Source organism: Homo sapiens, chromosome 11, assembly GCF_000001405.40.
Source record: "Homo sapiens chromosome 11, GRCh38.p14 Primary Assembly".
Classification (NCBI taxonomy): Eukaryota; Metazoa; Chordata; class Mammalia; order Primates; family Hominidae; genus Homo; species Homo sapiens.
In genome coordinates this window covers 67,784,853-67,810,121 of record NC_000011.10, presented here as the reverse complement: position 1 = coordinate 67,810,121, position 25,269 = coordinate 67,784,853, and the positions used below count along the sequence as shown (strand labels likewise).

Sequence of the window (25,269 nt, the reverse complement as noted above, 5' to 3'; positions counted from 1 at the left end):
AGGGCCCCGCATGTGGCTGAAAACAACAGAAATGTATTGTCTCACAGGCCTGGATGCTAGAAGCCCAAAATCAAGGTGCCGCCCGGGCTTCGCTTCCTCTGAAACATGTAAGAGAGAATACTTCCTTGCCTATTCTGGCTTCTGGTGGCCGCTGGCAATGCTTGGTGTTCCTTGTAGATGCATCGCTCCAATCTCTCCTCCCTCATCACATGGCTGCCTTCTCCTTGTGTCTCTGTCTTCACCTGACATTCTCCTCTATTATTTTATTTTTTTGAGATGGAGTTTCCCTCTGTCACCCAGGCTGAAGTGCAGTGGCACAATCTTGGCTCACTGCAACCTCCGCCTCCTAGGTTCCGGTGATTCTTCCACCTCAGCCTCCTGAGTAGCTGGGATTACAGGCACCCGCCACCACTCAGTGCTAATTTTGTGTTGTTAGTAGAGATGGAGTTTCACCATGTTGGCCAGGCTGGTCTCAAACTCCTGACCTCAAGTGATCCGCCCACCTCACCCTCCCAAGGTGTGCTGAGATTACAGGCATGAGCCACCATGCCTGGCCCTCATTCTCTCCTTTTATAAGGACACCAATCATTGCATCTGCCTCCTCACCAGCAGCCCCCAATCCAGTATGACTCATCATTACTTAATTACATCTACAAATACCCTATTTCCAAATAAGGTCACATTCCTGGGTACGGAGGATTAAGATTTCCAATTTTTTCCCTGACTCAATTTTTTTTAAGTCAGAGCCTCATCCTATCACCCAGGCTGGAGTACAGTTATGTGATTATAACTCACAGCCTCAAACTCCTGGGCTCAAGGGATACCCTGACCTCAGCCTTCCAAGTGGCTGAGACTACAGGCGCACACCACCATGCCCAACTAATTTTTTTTTTTTTGTACAGATTAGGTCTCACTCTGTTGACCAGGCTGGTCTCCTGACCTCAAGTGATCCTCTTGCCTTGGCCTTCCAAAGCACTGAGATTACAGGCATTATCCCGTGCCTGGCCCTCTTTCTACACCTCAATCATTGTATCATTAGCCTGAGCTGCCCATATTCCTTATTCTGCCCATCCATGACCAATCTCCTCCTTTAACATAACTTCCATCTCGATATCATGGGGCCTGCTGGGCACTGCAAACAGCCTAAGGAAAGTGGAAATTTTACTTAACCTTAAATTCTATTACAATGTCCACATTGAACATAATTTATATTTGAACTATAAAATTTTCTGTAAGTTGAAACATGACTTATAAAGGTCTCTACACCCTGAAGCAACGTTTTAGAAAGATATCAATTGGTGCTTTTCTGCAGAAACCATTAACCATAGGAGAGATAAAGGAAAAACTTCAATGTACTGATTGAACTTCCATGCCCATAGCTTAATTTCTAAAAGGCAACCATTCCATACTGTTAAACTGACTTAGGTTGTTATTGCTGTTATTAAAGAGACCCTCAAAGCTAGAAGTTGAACCTTGACTGTAGTTCTTGCACGTACACGCACACTCTTGCAACTGAAACCACTCAGATTGTCCTAATGCTGTTCCCCATAGCAACACCACCTGGAATTTTACGTTTGATTTTAAGCATCAGTCCTAATCTTCACTTGCACCCGAACACACTGCACCTGTGAGAGCCACGTGACATTAAAAAAATCCCTTCAGTGAGGCCGGGCATGGTGGCTCACGCCTGTAATCCCAGCCCTTTGGGAGGCCAAGGCAGATGGATCGTGAGGTCAAGAGATTGAGACACTCCTGGCCAACATGGTGAAACCCTGTCTCTACTAAAAATACAAAAATTAGCTGGGCGTGGTGATGCGTGCCTGTAGTTCCAGCTACTCGGGAGGTTGAGGCAGGAGAATCGCTTGAGCCCGGGAGGCAGAAGTTGCAGGAGCCGAGATCACACCACTGCACTCCAGCCTGGCAACAGAGGGAGACTGTCTGAAACAAATAAATCCCTTCAGTGCCTTGATCCTTCCAGATTCAGATCCAAGATAGATGACATTTGTCCCTCATCCGAGTTCAAACACCAAGATAAAGATTTCTTCTGGCCGGGCGCGGTGGTTCACGCCTGTAATCCCAGCACTTTGGGAGGCAGAGGCGGGCGGATCACCTGAGGTCAGGAATTTGAGACCAGCCTGGCCAACGTGTTCAAACCCTGTCTCCACTAAAAATAACAAAAATGGCTCGGCATGGTGGCTCACACCTGTAATCCCAGCTACTCGGGAGGCTGAGGCAGGAGAATCGCTTGAACCTGGGAGGTGGAGGTTGCAGTGAGCCGAGATCGCGCCATTGCACTCCAGCCTGGGCAACAAGAGAGCAAAACTCCGTCTCAAAAAGAAAACAAAAGAAAAGATTTCTTCTGCATGCATGGCTCAGCTCTGTGGTCCGCTAGGGTCCTTCCTCAATCCGCTTGCAACCTATGGAATTAGGAAAGACTGAACCAACCTAGATTTATTAATATTTTAGTATAACATAATACAGTGTTACTTATCATAGCATTGACCGTATATGCCCTTTTGCTCCTTGGAGGAAAGGTAATTAATAGCTATTATGTGAGTTAATAAAATAAGCCCAGGATTTATGAGTGTAACTAACCTGTTCCCGTTGGTTTTCCTTGTCTCCTGCAGGCAGAGAGCTGATCAAAACCACAAAAGCAAAGCAGTGCCCCTGGCCCAGTTCTGAAGCCAAGCTTCCTTAACCACCCAGACCCATCTCTGGTTACGACTTGCTGTGGATTCTCAGGTGACTCCATCTCAGGATACAGGGACTGAGAGGGTGTATGCAATATCTCAGACCCAGAAACTGTTGATTCTGTCTAAAAACACAGCAATAACCACATCCCACCCTCTTGATTTAAATGAAAGTGTTTGGGGGAATAAAAGATGAACCTTTTTTTTTTCTTTGTCAGATCTTGCGCTCATTTGGTTCTGGTGGGGAACAACAGCTGTGAGAGAACACGTGTATTCAATTAGAATTAATCCCCCTCTCTTATTCTCACAGCTGAGCAGGACTCAAGTGCCTCTCATCTGAAAGAGGTAATAAGATTTAATCTGTCTCCTCATCTACCTTCTGCAAGTATACTGAACAAATTAGCTCTCGGGACTCTTCCAAATGGAGTTTTATGAGGGATTTGCTAAGGTAAACGTTTTAGACTTTGAACACAGTTCAGATTTCAGGGGCAGTACTGAAATCTCAACACACAATAACTTTGAACTAAAGACACGTTCAACTCAAGACACAATAACTTTGAACTAAAATAATTATATTTTTGTTGTTTTCCACTCTGTCCCCACGTCTATATCACCACCACCCCCAATTCCGCCCCCCAGGAGCTAACTCCTCCTTCCTGTCCCTGCAAGATTAAAACTCCTCCTGGAAGCCCCGCTAGCTCTGTCTGCTCGCCTTCGTGGCAGATATCGCTATTGTACTTTTATACTCATTTGTGTGATAAGTACTTCAATGTCCACTTCTTCCACGACCCCCTGAGCCCCTGGAGGGCCTGGACCACACCTAGTTTTTCTCACTGTTACATCTCCCTTGCCAGACACATGGTAGGAGCTTCATAAGTATTTGGTGAACGGATGGCTTGTTTGGTGACAGTCCAAAGGCTGGGGGACAGAGGGAAAGCTCCTTCCTATCGGGCTCCAGATGTGTGGCGCTGATGGAGAGGAGGCTAGGATAACGCCTCCAGGACAGAAGCGCGCACCCCTAAGGCCCCTGCCAAAAAGACCTTCCTGAAGGCGGAGGAACTGCGAGAGTGCCTACGTTGGCCCAAGGCCTGACCCGACGATCCCGGGGACCCTCGCCCTAACCGGCCCCGCCTCCCGGGCCCCTAACCCGGACTCGGCCCCGCCCAAAGCTCCGGATCCTGGGGCCCGCCCCTGGCCCCGCTTCGGCAGACCGTGGGCTCGCTCCTGGGCCTGCCTCAAACCCTCCGCAGGTAACGCCTCCCGAACTTGAGCCACACTCCAAACCCCTCCTCAAACCCCTCCCCGTTTCTCACACCCTGGACCCCTCGCTCCGTCTCGGCCCCACCCCAAGCCCAGCTCCCTCTCGGCCCCTGAGCCCAGCCCCGACCCGCCTCCCAGTCCCTTGGTCCCTACCGACACCTGCCCCTCCCTAAGCTCCGCCTCCCAGGGCCCGCCTCCTGAGCGCAGCCCGCAGCCCGGACTCTGCCCCGCCTCCCGGACCCTGGGCCCCTCCCCATGTCGGCCCGTCCTAAGCTCCGCCTCCCAGAGTCCGAGCAGCGCCTGGCCACGTGCTACGACATAGTCAACGCCCCGCCCTGGCCCCGCCTCCTGAGCCCTTCTCCGGGTCTGCCCTTAGCCCCGCCCTAAGACCTGTCTCCTGGGCTCTGCTCCGAGTCTCGCCTCCTGAACCCAATCATCGTTTACCCCCACCCTAACGCCCCGCCTCCAGGACCCTTATCCTGCCCCCACGCAAGGCCCCGACTCCAGGACGCCTCCAACCTGGACGCTTCCGAAGCCCCGCTTCCAGGATCGCCCTGTCCTGGCCCCGCCCCAGGACCCGCCAACCAGAACTCTCCCCAGGACCTGCCCCAACGACGCTTATCCTGGCCCTACCCCAGGCCTCGCCCTCATGACGCTCATCCTGGCCCCACCCCAGGTCCCGCCTCATAACGCTCATCCTGGCCCCGCCCTAGAGCCGCCCCCACGACTCTCCTCCTCACCCTACCCCCAGGCCCCGCCCCCTCTCTGCCCCCGCCCACTGCCCTGGGCCCGCCCCCTCTTCAGTCCAGGCCTGGCTTCCGCCCGGTCTCCGGGCAACGCTGCGGCCCCGCCCACGTCATGGCGCCCGAGGAGAACGCGGGGACCGAACTCTTGCTGCAGAGTTTGGAGCGCCGCTTCCTGGCGGCGCGTGCACTGCGCTCCTTCCCCTGGCAGGTGGGCGGCGGGGCGAGCGGAGAGGCCCGCGGGGCTCGCGGGAGTCCAGGGGCAGATGGGATGGGTCTCTGTGCTGAAGCCCCCGGCGCTCACGCCACGTGAGTGCCTGGGCTCCCGCCGGTCAGGTCCGCGCGACCCGTTTCCCGTCCCTGGGGCCTGGCCAGAGTCGCTCGCACCCCTCCTGCCCCGCGTGCTGGCGGCGTAAGCTGGGGGCCTCTCCACCATCTTGGGGGGCAGAGGCGCACTCGTTGTGGGGTACAGTTCACTATCATTTTCACGACTTTTTAAAGGCAGTAACCGTTCTGGTCACTGGGACAGAGCTGCCCTCGCCCATTCTAAAAAGTCAGCGCCCTCAGGACCGCGGGTAACCACGTCCTCCTGAGCGTGGTGACCAGGTCACAGGCTGTCCCTCGTGCCTCAGTGTTCTCATCTGTATGTCGAGCACTGCACAGAATTGGCTCATGCTCTGAGGCTCTCACGCCTGTGATGGAAGAGACAGAGAAGGGGGTGGCCTCTCGTCTCCCTGGGGACCTGCCATTCTCAGCACAGGCGCATGGCAGGCAGCAGCCTCCCTTCTGCCAGTAGAGGGGCTTAATGCACCCGGCCCCATTTGTAATCCATGTGCGGTGAGCTCACTGGGATGAGTCAGTTTGGATATATATTCCTCCCTGGGTCTGCCCCATTTTATGGGGTGTTGCTTAATCATTTGCGCTATTCCATTGACATGAAATATTTAGCACTCAGAGATCATTTCTGGTCAGGAGAAATTTGTGCATTTTTAACCCAAAATAGAAACCTTCATAAAAGCATCATAGGTCTCCATTCAATATTGACTATAATTGTTCACATGCCACGCTGAAAGCTAACTTGGGCTCACCCTCAACACCCACGAGGTGGGTACTATTATCATCACTCACATTTGACCAGAGGGATTGTTTGATTAGGTGCAGTAGTTGAGAGTTCAGACCCAGGAGACAGCCTGCCTGCTTCGAATCCTGGCCCAACCCCTGGCCCTGTGTGACCTTGGGCAAGTGCATCTCTCTGTGCTGTTGTTTTCTTATTAATAAAATGGGGGATATAATGATACCTACCTCTTAGGGTTGTTGTCAGGGTTGAGTACAAAAGCCTGTGGATCAGTGCCTGGCTCATGGTAAATGCATGTTGGTGTTAGCTAGTGTTTTTATTCAGTCTCAAAATGTTTAATAAATGCCTTCCGTGAGCCAGGCACCATGGATCAGCAGTACCTATGACAGATGAGGCTCTGCTTGCATGGGAGAGCCAGAGAATAAACAAATAAATGAAGAAACAAGAAAAGACCAGATGAGAGTGGCTTTAAAGCCAATAAAACAGGGAAATGGTGAATGGAGCAACTGGGGAGAAGAGTCACCAAAGTCGGGGAATCAGGGAAGCCTTCCCCAAAGAGGTGGCATTTGAAATGGGGCCTGAGTGGTGAAGCAGCCAGCCATGGGAAGGGCTTGGGGAACAGGATATGCAAACGTCCTGTGGTGGAAACAAGCCAGCTGTTGTTGAGGAACAACAGCAAGGCAGCCAGTGTGGCTGGAGTGGAGTGAGCAGGGTGGGCCAGGGGCGAGGGAGAACAGGCCAGAGAGAGGGATTAGGACCAGGTCTTGTAGGACCTTTTACGGCATGGAAGGAGCTCTGAAGCAATGAAGTGCCTTGCCCTGTGTCACATACCAGCCGAGACAGTCTACCTAATTCGGGAGCCAAAGTTCGCTGCTGGGCTTGAGGCCCCTGTAAGAGGACAATGTAACCCAGGCTGGTATGGGAACATTCTGCATTTCCACTTAAACTCAGATGGCAAGCCCATCAAACCTTGGTGCCATGGCTGCCCTGGTAACCAGTGCAATCCTGGCTGACAAGTGCAACCAGGGAGCTGGCCCATGACCCGGGTGGCCGCTAAGTAGCCAGGACTAATGCGGCCAAGAGTCAGTCTTCTAGCCTTCTTCCTGTGACTCATCCAGGTGCACCCTGCAACATCTGAAGGTCAGGCTTTCAGCTGCTGTGGCTTCCACTTCCAACTGGCTCCACGTCCCCGGGGAGAGATCACACAGCGCTTTGCCAACACATTCTATTGCGTGCTTAATGTTCCTGTGAATGCACCCTTGAGATTTCTCTCTCTCCCCTCCACACAGAGCTTAGAAGCAAAGTTAAGAGACTCATCAGATTCTGAGCTGCTGCGGGATATTTTGCAGAAGGTAAGAATTCCAGAGTCCCTGGGACTCATGACCCTGCCTCCTGAATCTCTCCGGAAGACCTGAGAGAAGAAGCACAGGTGTGCTTGTACCCTTTAAAAACACCCCTGTTCAAAGAACAAAACCATTGAGTCAGCACTGCAGGTGGGTGTCGTCACCTCCGACAGCTCCAGCTCTTTCATTTTCTAAGACTTAGACAAAGACATCAGAATATACAAAAATCTGCATGAGAGGGGGGAATCTAGGGAAAGTTTTTAAACCATCCACAGCAAAAACAGAGATGACAGGTGCAAAACAGCTTCTAGAATTTGGTAGATGTTCAGAGACTTTCTTTTTTGCATTCATGAGGCCTGTCCTGCCCACTCCTGTCTCTTCTAGACCTAAATGGGCCCTTACTTTGCCCAGGGTGGGGTTTGGACTCAAGAGCATCTGCATGCAGGTGAGAGGCAGGATCACCACCCGGCCCAGCCACAGCCTGACCTTGGCCTTGAGGGCCAAGTGCAGATCACCCTGCATCCTGGGTCTTCACCTTCGAAGGGCCATGAGTCCTTCTGAAAAGAGAAAGCAATAGACTCCCTCCCAGAAAGAAGTGCACCAGAAGAATACATTTTCCATACAAACTCGAGGCAGACATCCTCCACCCCCACCCACCCAGCCCATCCTAGGATCCCCAGTGAAGAATTCCTGTGCTAGAGGTGAACCAAGATTATCCATGTGGAAAAGATGCAGCCACAGCAGGGAAGACTTTTGGGGCAATGCAGTAGGTCAGGGCTTCGAGCATGGAGATACCTGAAGTTATCTCGCACCCTGCTCTGAGTTTCACCCTGAGCCTCACTCTCGTAGGTGGTGAAGCATGAAATGTAGGGATAGCTGCTTTAAAACCCAGCAGAAGGCTGGGCGCACTGGCTCACACCTGTAATCCCAGGACTTTGGGAAGCTGAGGTGGATGGATCACCTAAGGTCAGGAGTTCAAGACCGGCCTAGCCAACATGGCAAAAACCCATCTCTACTAAAAATACAAAAATTAGCTGGGCGTAGTGGTGCACGCCTATAGTACCAGCTACTCAGGAGGCTGAGGCAGGAGAATCGCTTGAACCCAGGAGGCAGAGGCTGTGGTGAGCCAAGATCGGGCCACTGCACTCCAGCCTGGGCAACAGAGCGAGACTGTGTCAGAAAAAATGAAAAACCAGCACGAGCATGAAGAGCCTGTGTATTGCGTGGGGTACTTTGCTGCCCTTGGGCAGAATCTGCATCCCTCCCAGCCAGCAGGCACTGCAGACTGTCTCCTCCCTCTCCCTCCAGGCTCCTGTTTTCCCACCATCCCCACTCCTGCTGCACCAGTCCCTCTGCCCTCCTTTCCAAGTGCCAGGACATGGCCACCTCAGAGCTTGCATCACCTGTTGCCACTGTCTGGAACTTGCTCGTCCTGCACTTGGTTTCTCTCGGCTTTAGCTGGAGTGTCACCCAGAGCGTCCCCTCCCCTCCATCCCATCCCCAGGAACACACGCTGCAAGAGAGCAGTTGCCAAGTGGGCCTTCCCTCCTCTTCCATAGAGCCAGACAGTTGGCGACTGTCTTTACTGCAAACCCTGGTTCACACTGGCTCCCCTGGGAGGGAGGTGGTTTGGGCCCACGTGCCCTGCGTTCTTGCTCAGAATGGGCATTAGAAATGCTGCCATAGCCTGTGACACTGCAGTGGAAGCATTTTTAGGAAATGGCTTATATCATAAGACAAACTTCAGATGCATGGGGCCAGAACGCTGTGTCCATCTACATCTTTGCTGAGGGATCGGGTAGCCTGGAGTTTGCCCTCTGCCGTGTTGGCTTGAAGCTCATAGGAGACTTAAGACAGGCTCTTGAGCAACCAAAGTTCTGTCCTTTGCGGTAGACTGTGAAGCATCCTGTGTGTGTGAAGCACCGGCCATCAGTCAAGTATGCCTGGTGCTTTCTCTCAGAACTCATCAAAAAGGTCAGTTATGGGCAGTGTCCGCCCAGTAGCTGGACAGCATAGCCACCTGCGTGCTGGAGCCCCCATCCTTCCCAGGCCCTGGGCCTGCTTTGCAAACCCCAGCATGGCAGGGGCCTAACCAGGCAACTGGCTGCAGCCGCGTGTGACCCATGGGAGACAATGCAGGGCGGGAAGAAGGGGAGGCCAGCGTCTCTCCCTCACTCTGCCTCCTGGGGTTTCCGCCGCAGCTGCTTCTCTGGGGCCCCAGCTCCTAGCATATGGATTCTCATTCCTACCAGGCTAGCCCAGCCCACAGCACTGGAACCTGCACCCACACCCTCTGTCCTGCCTGCCGAAGGGTTTGGAGTTTCCTGCTCTTGTCCGTCTCTGGGTTGCCCCACGGGCCCCTGTTGGAAGGTTTAGCTCTTGCCATAACTTTGGAACTAGTTCCTCTGGTGAATTCTCGGCATTGATCCTGCTGGAATGTGCTCTTTCCTGACTGATACAGGATGGATTTTATTTTTTACTTATTTATTTTTTTGAGACAGGGTCTCACTGTGTTGCCCAGGCTGGATTACCGTGGCACAGTCTCGGCTCCCTGAAACCTCTGCCTCCTGGGTTCAAGCAACTCTCATGCCTAGCCTCCTAAGAAGCTGGGACTACAGGCACACGCCACCATGCCTGGCTAATTTTTGTATTTTTAGTAGAGACAGAGTTTCACCATGTTGGCCAGGCTGGTCTCGAACTCCTGACCTCAGGTGATCCACCTGCCTCGGCCTCCCAATGTGCTGGGATTAGAGGCATGAGCCACCGCACCTGGCCTAGGATGGATTTTAAAGATGGGCCCGAACATGCAGGGTTTGACATAAGGATGTCGAGAGGCTGTTGCTCAGTAGGCAGTAGCAGACCTGCTGAGTGAAAGGGCCACAATTTTAGCAAGTAAACAATCCCCTGCTTCTCCAATACCTGCTTTCTCCCTAATCCTCCCCAAAAGGGTGCATCTGTGGTCACCAGCAGGTCTGCCCTGTGCCACCAGGAGAGGGCAGCAGTCACCCAGTGTATCTTGCTGCTGCCCTGTGAATCTTAGGATGGGGCCAGCCGTGGAGAAGCAGCCTGCTGACAGCCACAGCCTGCAGCATGGGCCGCCCTCACAGTTGTGCCTGGGCTCACTTAAAAGCACCTTTGGTTTTCCTCCTCTCTGTCATGGTCATGTGGCAGCTCTCACGGAATCCTTGTCTCCTGCCTTAGACTACACCTAACACTACCCTCTCAACACCTCTCGTTGAAGGCCCTCCCATCCAGGTTTCCCTACCAAGTGAATTTTTTTTTTTAGAGACAAGGTCTCTTGCCCAGGCTGTCCTCGAACTCCTGGGCTCAAGCAGTCCTCCCATGTCAGCCTCTAGAGTAGCTGGGACTATTCGGCACACACCACCAAGCCCAATGAAGTGAATGTTTTATATGCCAGCTGGCCGGTATTACACCATTCCATCCCAAATCTCCCCTCCAAACTTGGTGAAAATCATCTGACCATTTTTACAGATTAGAACGAAAGCAAACAAGCTCTCACTCTGTCTGCCCCCAGCACGAGGCTGTCCACACAGAGCCTTTGGACGAGCTGTACGAGGTGCTGGCGGAGACCCTGATGGCCAAGGAGTCCACCCAGGGCCACCGGAGCTATTTGCTGGTATGAGAAGGACACCCTCCTCCCCCTCACAGCCCAGATACCCTTCCTGCACAGACAAAGTGAAAACGTGGGTGTGGGTTCAAATCCTGACTCACCCAGTCTGCAGTCTTAGACATGAGGTCCATCAACCTTCTTTAGCCTCAGTTTCCCTGTCTGTAAATCAAGCACTTCAACAACAACAGCATGTCTCATGGGGTTGTTGGGCATTTGTCCAATAGGTGACACACTCTACCTGCTTCACAAGGACCTGGTGTCCAGTCCTCAAAGAATACTTGACAGGTCCGGGTGTGGTGGCTCACACCTGTAATCCCAGCACTTTGGGAGGCTGAGGCGGGTGGATCCGAGGTCAGGAGTTCAAGACCAGCCTGGCCAATATGGTGAAACCCTGTCTCTACTAAAAATACAAAAATTAGGCCGGGCGTGGTGGCTCATGCCTGTAATCCCAGCACTTTGGGAGGCTGAGGCAGGTGGATCACCGGAGGTCAGGAGTTTGAGACCAGCCTGGCCAACATGGTGAAACTCTGTCTTTACTAAACATACAAAAATTAGCGGGTGTGGTAGTGGGTGCCTCTAATCCCAGCTACTCGGGAGGCTGAGGCAGGAGAATCTCTTGAACCCAGGAGGTGGAGGTTGTGGTGAGCCAAGATCACGCCAATGCACTCCTGCCTGGGCAACAAGAGTGAAACTCTGTCTCAAAAAAAAGTAGAAAAATTAGCCAGACATGGTGGCACATGCCTGTAGTTGCACCTAATTAGGCGGCTGAGGCAGGACAATTGCTTGAACCCAGGAGGCAGAGGTTGCAGTGAGCCAAGATTGTGCCACTGACTCCAGCCTGGGGAACAGAGCTCAAAAAAAAAATAAGATAAAACATAGATACAGAAAACCACAAAGGAAAAACATAGCATATTGAATCATCACAAGGCAGCCACCCCTTCATAGCCACACCCGGCCCCTGGCCACAACTGACCTGTGCTCCATCACCAGAATTCCATTGTTTCAGGAATGTTCAATGAATGAAATCCTGTGTGGCCTGAGATGAGTGTCTTTCATGCCATGTGACACCCTTGAGGCCTGTGCAAGCTGTTGGCATGTCAACAGTTAGCTGCTTCTCTTTGCTGAGTGGCGATTGGTCCTGTCATGGTTTATTCAGCCATGTGGTGGATGGCTACTTGTCTTCTAAGCCACTTGCCTTCTGATCGCTGGACTGACTCTCTCTCCCTCTCTTGGTGCAGCCCTCAGGAGGCTCAGTCACACTCTTCAAGAACACAGCCATCATCTCCCACGGCATCACAGGCCTGGTCACATGAGATGCTGCCCTCTACCTTGCAGAATGGGCCATCGAGAACCCGGCAGCCTTCTCTCATAGGTGACCTCGGGGTGCACGGCAGGGCACCGAGGCAGGCTTACCCTGGTGCAGTCGCAGACATGGTCCCCTTTCCTCCCACCAGGATGGTCCTAGAGCTTGGCAGTGGCGCCGGCCTCACAGGCCTGGCCATCTGCAAGATGTGCCGCCCCTGGGCATACATCTTCAGCGACTGTCACAGCCGGGTCCTTGAGAAGCTCTGAGGGAATGTCCTTCTCAGTGGCCTCTCATTAGAGGCAGATATCTCTGCCAACTTAGACAGCCCCAGGGTGACAGTGGCCCAGCTGGACTGGGACGTCGCGACGGTCCGTCAGCAATCTGCAATCCAGCCAGATGTTGTCATTGCAGCAGGTAATGCCCAGCCCCGGGCACTCTGTGCAGGCGGTGTCCTTGAAGCTCTACCCAGCTCTTGGCTCTGGGAAAAGGGAACAATGGACACTGTCGGGCATGGACATGATGGGGCTTCCAGAAGAGTTACTCTGGGCCTCCAGGGTGACGTCAAAGGACAGGGGTGTCTCTTAAGGTGACCTTCCAGCCACAGCCCTTTTGTTGGAGACAGGCATACTCCCGTTACAGTCATCACCACATGGCTCTGTCCCAGAGTCATGACTGTGTCTTTCAGAGACCACAGGAGGAAAACAACCACTTCTGGGATGAGGACAGGGCCCTTGAGAGAAGGTGGTGTTTGGCTGGGCCACCGAAAACCCCTCGCCCCTGCCAGCACACTCAGTCTCCTCTCTGGTCGAACAGAGCTCTGCCTGTGGTCCTGGGTCCCAGCCCTGAAAACCACAGGTCCAGCGGTGGCCAGGGACACAGGCCCACCCCTGCAAGCCAGCAGACAAATTGGCAGACGCCTGAAACACGAAGTTCATGGCAGGATCAGGCTTTGTGTCATTCACAGCCCTCTAGATAGGCCGAGAACCAGAACTCATTTTTTAAGGAACACCAGTGAGTCTGGAGATTTTTTTCTTTTGCTTCGGTCTTTTGCAGCTTTCTCTACTAAGGGTTCTCCTTTTTCACCCAAGTAATTGCCTTTCCATCTAATGGCCCAAATGGTCAAATGGCATCTACTAGTCTCATATGACCGCTGCCTCTCTGGCCTCGCCCTGCTGCTGAGGTCAGCATGACCTGGAACTGTCCGCTGGTCCCTTTCAGTAACCTGAAGCTTTCACCGTAGACGTGCTGTATAGCCCAGAAGCCATCGTGTCGCTGGTCGGGGTCCTGCGGAGGCTGGCTGCCTGCCGGGAGCACCAGCGGGCTCCTCAAGTCTATGTGGCCCTTACCATCTGCAACCCAGAGACGTGCCAGCTGTTCACCACTGAGCTATGTGAGCCCCCACGCCCACCCGGGCCTGCATGGTCCCCAAGCTGTCCCTGCGGGACTCCAGTGGAAGTGAAAGAACTGGGGGCCGGGGAAAAGCTAGGAAGCCCCACACTCCCACACCATGTGGGGAACTAGGGCAGAGGCCGGTGAGAAATGTGGGCTCGGGGTGTGGGGGCCTTGTGGCAGGAGGAGGGCAGCTCAGCACAGGGAGGGAGGATCTGAGCCCAGCAGCCCTACTGTGTGCTTCAGAGCAAGGTTCCCTAAGCCCTTGGGCCTCGGTTTCCTCATCTATAAAATGGAGGTGGCAGGAGGGGCAGTCGGGGTCAGGGCTGGACACAGCTGTGGCCTGCAGGACACTGGAGCACAGGCTGTACAGGCGGATCCACCACGCCACTGTCCTGAGCACCCAGTTGATGGAAGACGAGCAGGGTGACTATAGAGAAGGGGAACTGGCCCCGTAGTGGGCCAGCCACTGTCCTCAGACCTGACATTTGTCAGCCCCCAGCACCTGTGAGAGTGTGCTATCATTGTCCCATCCCACCGACAAAGACACTGGGACACACAGAGGCCAAGCAACCCCCGAGCTCCCACAGGCTGCAGCCCGGCCACCAGGCTCTCGTGCCTCCACACTACACCCAAGCCCCTCATTGCCACCAGCCTTTGCCCCAGCTCCCCCTGAGCACAGCCCCTCCTGGCAGCCATGTGCACAGATGCACGTGCAGCAGCCTCTGCCTGCACACAGAGACACGGGTCCAATGCCTGTCCACGTGGAGCAGCCCGTTAACTACAGAGCCAACAAACAAGCCAGCACACAAAGACACACTGGGTTCCACGACAGAGTCCCGCACAACCTAGCACAGGAGGCTGGCCGGGCGCGAGGCTCAGGCCTGTCATCCCAGCACTTTAGGAGGCTAAGGCAGGAGGACTTCTTGACACCAGGAGTTCAAGACTTACCTGGGCAATATAGTGGGACCCCATCTCCACAAAACATACAGAAACTAGTCAGGCATGGTTGTGCGCACCTGTAGTCCCAGCTACTCGGGAGGCTGAGGTGGGAGGATGGCTTGAGCCCAGGAGGTGGAGGCTGCAGTGAGCCCTGATCTCACCACTGCACTCTAGCCTGGGCAACAGAGCAAGACCCTGTCTTAAAAAGGCAAAAAAAAAAAAAAAAAAAAAAAAGGAAGTCTTTCTTCAGATACTTATGTGAAAAAATACCTGCAATATCTTTGAAGTGAAAAAAACAGTGCCAAGCAGCACACATAGTATAAGCCCCCACCCACCTTTTTTTTTTTTTTTTTTTTTTGAGACAGAGTCTGGCTTTGTATAGCCCAGGCTGGAGTGCAGTGGTGCCATCTCGGCCCACTGCAACCTCCCACCTCCCAGGTTCAAGCTATCCTCCCATCTCAGCCTCCTGAGTAGCTGGGAATACAGGTGCGTGCTACCATGCCTGGCTAATTTTTGTATTTTTTGTAGAGTCGAGGTTTCGCCATGTTGGCCAGGCTGGTCTTGAACTCCTGACCTCAAGCGATCTGCTGCCTCAGGCTCCCAAAGTGTTAGGATTACAGGCGTGAGCTACTGCACCCAGCCCCATTTTTGTTTAAAAAATAATAATAATCACCCACACATAGTTATGAGTACCTATATTCCCAACTACTCAGGAGGCTGAGGTGGGAGGATGGCTTAAGCCCAGGAGTTTGTGGCCCCCTTGAGCAACATAGCAAGACTTCATCTCAAAAACAAATTATCACAATAATCATTTTCACATAAGTATACCTATAGGGGATAACCTAGAATATATATATAGCAGGCTCGTCCAAGCTGCGGCCCAACACAAATCTGTAAACTTTCTTAAAAACAGTACGAGGTTTTTTTGTGATTTTTTTTTCTTTTAGCTCATCAGCTATTGCTAGCATTAGTGTATTTTATGTGTGGCCCAAGGAGATTCTTCTCCTTCCAATGTGGTGCAGGGAGGCCAAAAGATTGGACATCCCTGATATACACGTTAACAGGTGCCATCCTTGGATGGCAGGATTATAGAGACTTCTACACGTTCATGTCTGTACTACTTCATTTTTATAAATATGCATTTTCCACTCGTAACAAAAAGCTGTGATTGAAAATCATCCCGGGTCACAGTGTTTCACACCTGTAATCCAACACTGTAAGAGTCTGAGGCTTTGGGAGGCTGAGGTGAGCGGATCACTTGAGGTCAAGAGTTCAAGACCAGCCTGGCCAACACGGTGAAACCCCATCTCTACTAGAAACACAAAAATTAGCCAGGAGTGGCGGTGCACGCCTATAATCCCAGCTGCTCGGGAGACTGAGGCAGGAGAATCATTTGAACCTGGGATGCATTGCAGTGAGCTGAGATTGCACCACTGCACTCCAGCCTTGGGAACAGAGTAAATCTCTGTTTAAAAAAAAATAATAAATGAGGCTGAGGCAGGACCATCACTTGAGGCCATGCATTCAGGACCCCATCTCTACAAAATAAAAAAATTACTAGCATGGTGGCACGCACCTGTCATCCCAGCTACTCAGGAAGTGGGAGGATTGCTAGAGCCCAGGAGTCGAGGCTGTAGTGAGCAATGACTGTGCCACTGCACTCCAGCCTGGGTGACAGAACAAGATCGTATCTCAAAAAAAAAAAAAAAAAGAATCATTCTGGCTAACGGCTCTTCAGACATCTGTGCTTATGAGAACACCAGCCCCTTCTAAGCTGTGTGTGTGCGTGTGTGTGTGTGTGTAATTTTTTTTTTTTTTTTTTTTTTGAGATGGAGTCTCACTCTGTCACTCAGGCTCAAGTGCAGTGGCACAATCTCGGCTCACTGCAACCTCCGCCTCCTGGGTTCAAGCAATTCTCCCGCCTCAGCCTCCCAAGTAGCTGGGATTACAGGCACCCACCATCGTGCCTGCCTAATTTTTGTATTTTTGTAGAGATGAGGTTTTACCATGTTGGCCAGGCTGGTTTCGAACTCCTGATCTCAAGTGATCCACCCGCCTTGGCCTCCCAAAGTGTTGGGATTACAGGCGTGAGCCACTGTGCCTGGACGCTTTCTAAGCTTTGTGAATAGTGGGTTGACTGAGCAGCCAGGTAGATGTGGGTTCAGATCTCTGCATCTGTCCCGCTGTGCCAAGTGCTGGGGCAGATGCGGGCAGAGAGTGGACAGCGGCACGGTGCCTGCTGCTAGCCATTTCTATGCAAAACCAGATTTCTTGTCCCATCCTGGAGGCCAATTCTAGGCACCTGGGTGGGCCTGGGAACCTGTGAACCAAGTAAACTGACTTGGACACACCCCCCACCCCGCCAGGCCTGTCCTAGCAGCCCCACACAATACGCTCATGTCCTGTCCCCAAACACTGCCATCCTGAAACACATGTCCTCTGTTTCCAGGCCGGGCTGGGATCAGATGGGAAGTGGAACCTCGTCATGACCAGAAACTGTTTCCCTACGAAGAGCACTTGGAGATGGCAATGCTGAACCTCACACTGTAGGACTCACATACGACTCCAACGGGATTGTGAGAATCAAGTCACTCTAGTGGGAAGAGTTTTTATATGGGAAAGCGGATAAAACTTTCATTGGACTGGAATGTTTGGAGAATGTTAATTTCCAAATCAGGAACCACAAACTGCCCTCTAATAAGACATCAGCTATCTAAGCATGTGGGTGCTCCCTTTCTGCCAGCAGTTCTGGTTCTTAAGAAAATCGCCATCAATCAGACATGAAATCTCTGGCTCCAAAAATAGCATTTTCTTTGTGCAAATAAAAACGTGTGTATCAAGTATGATGTTCCCCCAATGTGGACACACTCGGTTCCCCACAAAGCCAAGCCCGCTGCAGCTGCCACATCCCTGGACACATTCGGTTCCTCACAAAGCCAAGCCCGCTGCAGCTGCCACATCCGTGGACACACTCGGTTCTTCACAAAGCCAAGCCCACTGCAGCTGCCACATCCCTGGGCTTACAGTGCAGCAGGTGCTTTTTTCAAGACAGGAATCAAAATGTTAGGAACACGGCGGAAAGATGACACCTGGAGAGCAAACGCAGGATGAGGAGTACTGCAGAGGTCACACGGAAGTCGCAGAACAGTAATCCGCTAGCAGGGGCATGGGGCGTGAAGAACAGAAGAAGATAGGAAGTGTTTCCGAGCCTCCAGAAAAGAAATCAGAGCCAAGCACAGCTTCCCGGGTCACAGAACCAATTCATTTACCAGGCGGCACCACTGCCGTCATTTCACCTTCTGGCCACTGGGAGGCGCTGCTCGAAAGGGTTTGCCCTGAGACTCCGAGAAGAAGCTGCGGGAAGGACAGCAGGGGTCCCGGGGTTTTAGCCTCTGGCCCAGGAGTTATGTGTCCATAACCAAATGGAGCACACTCTGCACCCAGCTCTCATCCCATCGGAGCTGCTGCGATTCCCGCAGGTTCTTCCAGAACTGGTTTAGCTTGCCCGCAGGATCAGGAAAGTTTGAGAAAAGCATCTGCAAAAAAATAAAGAGCAGAGCTTAACTCATTTCCTGTCCCCACCCCATCCCAGGTCACCACCTGGCTGACCCCAGGTCCCCGACCCAACAACAAACCCTCCCAAGTTCCTAACTCCCTCACTTGGACTCGAGACTCTTCACGCCCCAGCAGCGCTCCGCCTCCAACTTGACATCACGCTTTCTGTCCCACTTTCCCACACTTCGTGCCCTGGAGCACCTCCCGGCCTCTACACGCTGTATGTTCCCCTGCGAGCACCCTCCTCTTGGCCTCTGGCCAAGTCCCACCCATCTGTGGGTAACAAGGGGGTGTTGGTGTTCTTTTCAGCCTTGCTAAACTGTCTGAATCAAGGATCACAAACTACAGCCTGCAGGCCAAATCCAGCCCACAGCCTGTGTTTGTAAATAAAGTTTTATTGGAACAAAGCCACACCCCTTAATCGAAGATGATCTGTGGCTACTTTCACACCACAACAGAGTACCATGGTTCTGACAGAGACTAGGAGACACAGTCTAAATGACTTCTGACCTGGACCTTTACTGAAAATCCTGCCAATCATTCTGTTGGCAAGAATGATGTATTACTTTTAGCAATAAGAAACAAGTAACCTTTGCAGAATTCCACCCATCTTTCAAGGCTGGTCCCAGAAGTTCCCTTTGCCCATGCACCTACCTGATCCTGATCACTTCCGAAACTGCAGCCCGGCCCACCCGGCTCCAGCATCATTTGTGGAGTGTCAGCTCCATAAATCCAGAGGGCAGGTGGGGGTGTGTCCTAACTTTCCCGAGCCTACTGTACCGAAACGGGACAGCAGAGTAGGCCAGCCTCTGTGACTTCTGCTCTCTCCCTAGCTTTTCCGCCAGACCCCACATGGTCCCACCCTGGCTGTGGGAAGCAGGGATCAGGGAGCATGGCTCAGTGCCAGTCTCCAGAACCCTCTCCACCCTCGCGTGGTGGCAGATGTGGCTACCTGCAGCTGAGCTGCCAGTTCCTCTGAGTCCTCAAAGACCAGGCCATTTTCTTCATGTTTCACCAGCTCATGTAAACTGCAGAGAGAACCAAGGGAGCCTGAGAGCTGCCTGGAGAAGACACCAGACCCCTGGGGTGCCCACCTGGGCTTCAGCCTCCCACCCCATGCTCAAGCCAGGCTGAGAGTTGGAACAGGGGGTGTGTTTTCCGGGGGGTGGTTCTTAGATTTGGCATCTGAAGGGTATAAAGGGGGGTACACATCTAAATGGCCAAACCGATTTGAAGAGGGAGCCTTAAGGGGGGTTTGTACCTTCTGTGCTGGATGCTCTTCAAGGACTGAAGAATTATTTTTGCATGTTTTTCTTAACTCCATGGCCATGGAACAAGTAAAGGGAACACCCGGGGGACTGGCTCAGCACATAAAAGATGACTTTTCTAGGGCACCAGGTTTGATCCCGACATTCCCTGAGCTCAGCTCACAGGAGGGGCTCACATCCCTGGATCCCATCCAGGAGCCGGCTCCTGAGCAGGGGCCAAGGGCTCAGCTTGTGCTGGGGCTACTGCTTCTAGAATCTCCTCTAACGCCGCCCTTCCAAACACACGTCTGTGCTGGGTAGAGTGGGGCCACAGCATGACACTCATTTAACTGATTCAAACCCACCACGTGAGCTTGGCCAAAAGGGACATGGTGGGAGAGAAAGAAACAAAGAAAACCATGTAAGCCTGCAGGCAATTCCCGCCAATTCTACTCTAGGAGCAAAAGCCCCGAGTGGAGTTCTAGTATTTAACATGCTTTTTTTCCATATTAGGTTGGTGCAAAAGTAATTGCCATCTTTAATGGCAAAAACGGTGATTACTTTTGTACCAACCTAAATATAACATGAGCTCTAAATGGAAGCAACTACTTCAGTGAGGCTCAGCCCAGCCACAGTAACCGCAGGGCTCCTCCTCATGGCCTCCAGTGTGTGCTGGACTGACCGAGGGGCAGGGCCTCACTGTGGGCAGCTCACTCTACACTGCTTCCCCCTCAGCGGTGGATCTGTGAAGCTATCCCCAGAAAGATTCGGGTTCTGCTCCTACCACTTGAAGTTCACAGCACACGCAGGCAAACAGCACCCGAACATGTCCACCACCTTCATGGGCAGGTCCAGGCCACTGGAGGATGTGTGCAGACAGACACCCAGGTCCACCGACCCTGCTAGGCAAGAGGGGTGGGTCAGAGCACTGGTCTCTGCCCTGGGAACACAAATCCTCCCAGCACAGTGAGACAACATCCCCCGAGGGGAGTGAAAATCGGATAAGGCCCCCGACAGCCCCAAGCACAAGTGGCTTAAGCCGGCCAAGCAGCCACACGGCCTGGCTGGGACATCTGAAAATGTAAGTTGACACTTTTTCTACTAAATCACAATTTGGTTTTTTTGTTGTTATTTTGTTTTGTTTTGTTTTGTTTTGTTTTGAGACAGTCTCACTCTGTCACCCAGGCTGGAGTGCAGTGGCACAATCTCAGCTCACTGCAACCTCCACCTCCCAGGTTCACCTCCCGCATGTAATCCCAACATTTTGGGAGCCCAAGGCGGGCGGATCACCTGAGGTCAGGAGTTCAAGACCAGCCTGGCCAACATGGTGAAACCCCATCTCTACTAAAAAAAATACAAAATTAGCGAAGCATCGTGGCAGGTGCCTGTAATCCCAGCTACTCAGGAGGCTGAGGCAGGAGAATCGCTTGAACCCGGGAAGGCGGAGGTTGCAGTGAGCCAAGATCATGCCATTGCACTCCAGCCTGGGCTACAAGAGCGAAACTCCGTCTCAAAATAATAATAATAATAATAATAATAATAATAATAATAATAATAATAAACCACAGCACACCCACCACAAACCAGCTGTCAGTGTGAAAATAAAGCGAAACAGCTTAATATTTCTAAAGACTAGCTGGGGCCAGGCATGATGGGTCACTCCTGGAATCCCAGCATTTAGGGGGGCCAAGGCGGGAGGATCACTTGAGGTCAGGAGTTCAAGACCAGCCTGACCAACATGGTGAAACCCTGTTTCTACTAAAAATACAAAAATAAGCCAGGTGTTGTGGCGGGCTCCTGTAATCCTGTAATCTACTCGGGAGGCTGAGGTGGGAGAATCGCTTGAACCCAGGAGGCGGAGGTTGCATGAACTGAGATCGTGCACTCCAGCCTAGGCAATGGAGCGAGACTGTCTAAAACAAAGACTACCTGGAGAGTCCTGCCAGGAAAAGGCCCTCAGCCTTCAACTGCTCTGCTCACTCGAAGCTGGAAGATGCAGCTCTAGAGATGCATCAGGACCAAGCCACGACTCCCCATTTGGAAAAATCAATCGGGGAAAGAGACGGAGGCAAAGGAGAACCATCTCACTGGGAGAGGCAACGCTGTTTGACACCTCGTCCCTGTACCTCCCAAAGCCACTGCCCTCCCACACCTGGGCAACAGTGCCCCAACCCCAGGCCCAGCCCTCCTGCAGGAAGGAAGAGGACTGAATGGAGGGCGTGGCAGGCTGAAAGGACATGGCCTCCTCAAACCCCTTGGTAAAGGGCCTCTGGGGCCACCTGGCAGGGAGGGGCTGGCACACCAGGAAGTAGCCTCCTCCCGGGAGTTAGCCAGAGCCCAGGTCCTGTCCCCAAGTGGCCTCCAGAGCCACCTTTTCAGAAAAAGTACATCCTGCCCACATCTGTTCCCCCTGCTTAAGGCCCCGCCTCCTCCCTGAGCCTCCTGCTGGCCTCTCACCTAGAAGCAGGGGGTAGTCCTCGGCCTCCAGCCAAGGGTTGCAGACCTGGATGTGCTGGAAATGCTTCTGGTGGATGGGGCGGCTGTAATACTCCGTCAGAGGCCCTTGGCCTTCACAGAGAAGAGCAGATACTGCCATGGACCCGTCTCTGACCCTGCCAAGTGGCCCCAGGCCCAAGACACTCCCCACTAGGAGGGATCCCTTTCCCAGAAGATCCACCCCTCGGCAGCTCCAGTCAGGCCCCATCTGGGCCCTTCCAGAAGCAACCCAGGAGCCCCGAGACCTGCAGTGGTGTGTGCACACTGACCCCTGACGCACAGCCCTGCTCTTGCAGCCAGCTGGCCTCGGGCTGCAAACATGGCGGGGTAAGCACCGGCCTGGCACGCGACCGCCCACTGGGTGGACCCAGCCTTTTGTCTGTGTTGTGCACAGGGGACACGAGGACTCCCCCTGCCCTGCCACAGCCCCCAGAGCACATGGCGCAGGTTCCAAACCGCCCCTGCCCAGCCACAGCCTCCAGAGCACATGGAGCGGGTTCCAAACCACTCCTGGGAGCCTAGAGGCCAGAGGAGGGAGGAGAGCAGGACCAGCAGCTGGCCCAGATCCCGCCTCTTCCCACACCACTTCCGCTTTTCTCCCTCCTCACTGAGTCACCTTGAAAGGGCTCAGCAGCAGTAACTGTGGGACAGGGGCTCTTCCGTTTGAAAACTTAAAAGAGGCTTGGTTAAGGCACCAATGACATGGTCAGGCACAGTGGTTCGTGCCTATAATTCGAGCATATTGGGAGGCCAAGGTGGGTGGATCACCTGAGGTCAGGAGTTCAAGACCAGCCTGGCCAACATGGTGAAATCCTGTTTCTACTAAAAATACAAAAATTAGCTGGGTGTGGTGGGCCCCTGTAGTCCCAGCTACTCGGGAGGCTAAGGCATGAGAATTGCTTGAATGTGAGAGGCGGAGGTTGCAGTGAGCCAAGATCACACCACTGCACCCCAGCCTGGGTGACAGAGACTGTCTCAAAAAAAAAAAAAAAGAAAAAAAGACACTAATGATGTAACAACAACAACAAAAAGATGCTTGGAAACTACTGAAAAAGTAGAAAGCTTTGTATCTACAGATTCAAATCTGGGCTCCCTGCCCTGCTGTGAAACCCTCTGAGCCTCAGTTTCCCCCATGTCAAGCAGTATAAGACCCTATGCAGAGAGCTGCAGTGAAGATTAAGGAGACAAGATCGTGGGAAGCACAGGGTAAAGGCTGCGTGCCCCTCCCCCTCCGCCATCCCCCAACCAAACAGACACCTAGGGTCCCAGGCGGTACCTGTTATCACACAGACGAGAGAAGGAAGGTTGTGTCCATCAACAGTCAGTTGCTCAAACTCTGTGTTTAAAAAAAGAAACAATTCTACATGGAATTTCTGATAGAATTTCTTCTTTTTTGTTTTTCTGACAGACTCTTGCTCTGTCACCCAGGCTGGAATGCAGTGGCATGATCTCAGCTCACTGCAACCTCTGCCTCCCAGGTTCAAGTAATTCTCATGCATCAGCCTCCCAAGTAGCTGGGATTACAGGCGCCCACCACCATACCCAGCTAATTTTTGTATTTTTAGTAGAGACAGGTTTTGCCATGTTGGCCTCAAACTCCTGACCTCAGGTGATCTGCCTGCCTTGGCCTCCCAGAGTTCTAGGATTACAGGTGTGAGCCACCATGCCCATTCAGAAAAAAAGTTTTAAATATACAATAGCCAGAGTCACCTGGTCAGTTGGAGAAACAGCACTGCTCTTGTGGGGAGGCCACCAGCCTCTGTGAGATACTCTCCTGGAGGAGGCATTTCAGCCTGAGGGCCTGGTCACTCAATGACCCAACTGGGGATTCAGGGCGGCCCACCTCCACCATCTCCACTGTCCCCAGGCTTCCCCGCCCAGTGGCCCGGGACAGGAACATGCTGCAGGCCAGACAAGCAGCTCACAGCTCAGTGGCCCCCAACAAGCCCAGAGATCCTCACCACAGCTACACACCTACTTTCTAAAGCTGCCAGCAGGATGGAGAAGTCTTCATCCTCTATGAGAAGAGAATTGAATGTCAGGGGCTTGTTTCTAGACACCCCTCTTCCAGCTCATACACCCTCCCCTTCTCATTGAGACCGTGGCGGGGTGGGGGCATGCAGGACTGGCAGGGGTGAGAACACAGATTGGCCAGGTGCCCGTCACACCAAGCCCAAGTGTTTCAGGGGTCGTGCAGACCTGTCCAGCCTGTGCTGCTGACCAGCAGGGCTGGCTGCTCGCGGAGAAGCATCACCAGCCCGCTCCCAGCATCCCACTCCATGAAGGCCGACGGCTCTGTGGCTGGTTCCTCAGGTTCTGAACTGAAAGAGCAGGAAAAAAGCCTGTGAGAGGCCACAGAGCAGGCCCAGGACCCAGGACGGGCATCTCCTGCCGTGGCAAGGCCTGCAGGCTCCCAAAGGTTGGGGTGCCCGGCCACATCAGCAGCACCAGGCCACCCCTGCCATCCGAGGCCTGGGCTTGCTTTCTCTAATATTGTTGCTGGGTGCTAAGGTTACAACAGCAAACAAGACTGACTCATTCCTTTTCTCCATGGGACTTACTGTCTTATCATCCCCTGGACTCAATATGAGGGTGCAGGGACTCCCTCCCACACCACCCCAACTTACCCAGGGGCACAGCTTAGGGTGTGTGGATCTGCACAAAGGTCCCCTCCTTAACCACGTGAGACACCCCAGGGGACACACAGGTCCACAGATCCTGCCACAGGCCTGGGAACCCACTGGCAGGAGAGTAAGATAGCGCAGGGGTCCACAAACATTTCTTAAAGGGCCAGAGAGTAAATACTTCAGGCTTTGCAGGCCACGGGTTCTCTGTTGCAAAACGCGATTCTGCTATTGTAGCTCAAAGGCGGCTGTAGACAACTCAGAAGGCAATGAGTGTGTTGTGTCCCAATGAAACTTGACTTACAAAAGCAGGAGACTGGCCTGTAGCCTTAGTGTGCCAACCCCTGGATGAGTGGGTTCCCAGGTCTGCAGTGAGAACGGGAGAGGCCAGGACAGTGGTGAGCAGGAGAGAAGGCAGCTGAGGATGGGAGGCCTACCGGGCCCTGAACGGAGAGTGCGTGCCGCCCAGCTTCATGAAGAGCCGGTGCTGCAGGTCCAGAGGTGTCTCTTTAAAGAAAGATGCCGGCTTGTCATAGATGGTCACAGCCCTGCAATGAAATCATGGCAGGACTATTGGGAGGGCTGAAGAAAGGCCTCAGGAATAGAGGACTCAGAGGCTCCAGGAAAAGAAGGACGCTTGGGGAATCCAAGTCTCAGACGATGACAAGAAGAAGCCTTGCAATCACTTGGGAATGCACAGAGAGACATCCTAGGACCAAAACTGCCTGGACCCCCTGGCTGGCTGGGAAAGAAACTCTGCCCCCTCCTCTCCAGGCTTCCCCAAATTTTCCCATAATGTTGCCAAGCATTAGTCCAGTGTGGAGGCTACTTTCTGCTCAAACCACTCATTTGGGTCCTGCACCCAATGTCACCCATCCTCAGTAAAACAACCTTTATTTCCTTCTTCCTGGTTTCCAGAAAGTTCCCCTAAAGCCCTGAGGAATCACCGAATAAAAGGGGCTTTTTAC

General features: G+C 53.0%; 2 pseudogenes across 1 annotated transcript, besides 10 other annotated features; one reads left to right on the top strand and one right to left on the bottom strand.

Annotated features, from left to right (window-relative positions):
- Window positions 3,327–3,826: an enhancer, noted in NCBI's record as "H3K4me1 hESC enhancer chr11:67573767-67574266 (GRCh37/hg19 assembly coordinates)". NCBI's record gives its function as "activates a minimal SCP1, AML or CMV promoter by ChIP-STARR-seq in naive H9 embryonic stem cells {active_cell/tissue: H9 hESC(naive)}" and the evidence as "EXISTENCE:reporter gene assay evidence [ECO:0000049][PMID:30033119]".
- Window positions 3,827–4,328: an enhancer, noted in NCBI's record as "H3K4me1 hESC enhancer chr11:67573265-67573766 (GRCh37/hg19 assembly coordinates)". NCBI's record gives its function as "activates a minimal SCP1, AML or CMV promoter by ChIP-STARR-seq in naive H9 embryonic stem cells {active_cell/tissue: H9 hESC(naive)}" and the evidence as "EXISTENCE:reporter gene assay evidence [ECO:0000049][PMID:30033119]".
- Window positions 3,827–4,381: a biological region, named in NCBI's record as "H3K4me1 hESC enhancer GRCh37_chr11:67573265-67573766".
- Window positions 4,072–4,381: a silencer, noted in NCBI's record as "silent region_3651". NCBI's record gives its function as "represses an Ori minimal core promoter by ATAC-STARR-seq in GM12878 lymphoblastoid cells {active_cell/tissue: GM12878}" and the evidence as "EXISTENCE:reporter gene assay evidence [ECO:0000049][PMID:35858748]".
- Window positions 4,692–4,741: a silencer, noted in NCBI's record as "silent region_3650". NCBI's record gives its function as "represses an Ori minimal core promoter by ATAC-STARR-seq in GM12878 lymphoblastoid cells {active_cell/tissue: GM12878}" and the evidence as "EXISTENCE:reporter gene assay evidence [ECO:0000049][PMID:35858748]".
- FAM86C2P (family with sequence similarity 86 member C2, pseudogene) lies at window positions 4,786–18,355 on the top strand (annotated as a pseudogene). Its single transcript, NR_024249.1, has 4 exons — window positions 4,786–4,904; window positions 7,058–7,120; window positions 13,289–13,438; window positions 16,829–18,355. The product of NR_024249.1 is annotated as a family with sequence similarity 86 member C2, pseudogene (transcript).
- Window positions 6,127–6,626: an enhancer, noted in NCBI's record as "H3K4me1 hESC enhancer chr11:67570967-67571466 (GRCh37/hg19 assembly coordinates)". NCBI's record gives its function as "activates a minimal SCP1, AML or CMV promoter by ChIP-STARR-seq in naive H9 embryonic stem cells {active_cell/tissue: H9 hESC(naive)}" and the evidence as "EXISTENCE:reporter gene assay evidence [ECO:0000049][PMID:30033119]".
- Window positions 6,627–7,128: an enhancer, noted in NCBI's record as "H3K4me1 hESC enhancer chr11:67570465-67570966 (GRCh37/hg19 assembly coordinates)". NCBI's record gives its function as "activates a minimal SCP1, AML or CMV promoter by ChIP-STARR-seq in naive H9 embryonic stem cells {active_cell/tissue: H9 hESC(naive)}" and the evidence as "EXISTENCE:reporter gene assay evidence [ECO:0000049][PMID:30033119]".
- Window positions 16,074–16,885: an enhancer, noted in NCBI's record as "H3K4me1 hESC enhancer chr11:67560708-67561519 (GRCh37/hg19 assembly coordinates)". NCBI's record gives its function as "activates a minimal SCP1, AML or CMV promoter by ChIP-STARR-seq in naive H9 embryonic stem cells {active_cell/tissue: H9 hESC(naive)}" and the evidence as "EXISTENCE:reporter gene assay evidence [ECO:0000049][PMID:30033119]".
- On the bottom strand, window positions 16,777–24,852 carry ALG1L8P (ALG1 like 8, pseudogene; annotated as a pseudogene).
- Window positions 17,699–18,511: an enhancer, noted in NCBI's record as "H3K27ac-H3K4me1 hESC enhancer chr11:67559082-67559894 (GRCh37/hg19 assembly coordinates)". NCBI's record gives its function as "activates a minimal SCP1, AML or CMV promoter by ChIP-STARR-seq in primed H9 embryonic stem cells {active_cell/tissue: H9 hESC(primed)}" and the evidence as "EXISTENCE:reporter gene assay evidence [ECO:0000049][PMID:30033119]".
- Window positions 21,153–21,860: an enhancer, noted in NCBI's record as "H3K27ac-H3K4me1 hESC enhancer chr11:67555733-67556440 (GRCh37/hg19 assembly coordinates)". NCBI's record gives its function as "activates a minimal SCP1, AML or CMV promoter by ChIP-STARR-seq in naive H9 embryonic stem cells {active_cell/tissue: H9 hESC(naive)}" and the evidence as "EXISTENCE:reporter gene assay evidence [ECO:0000049][PMID:30033119]".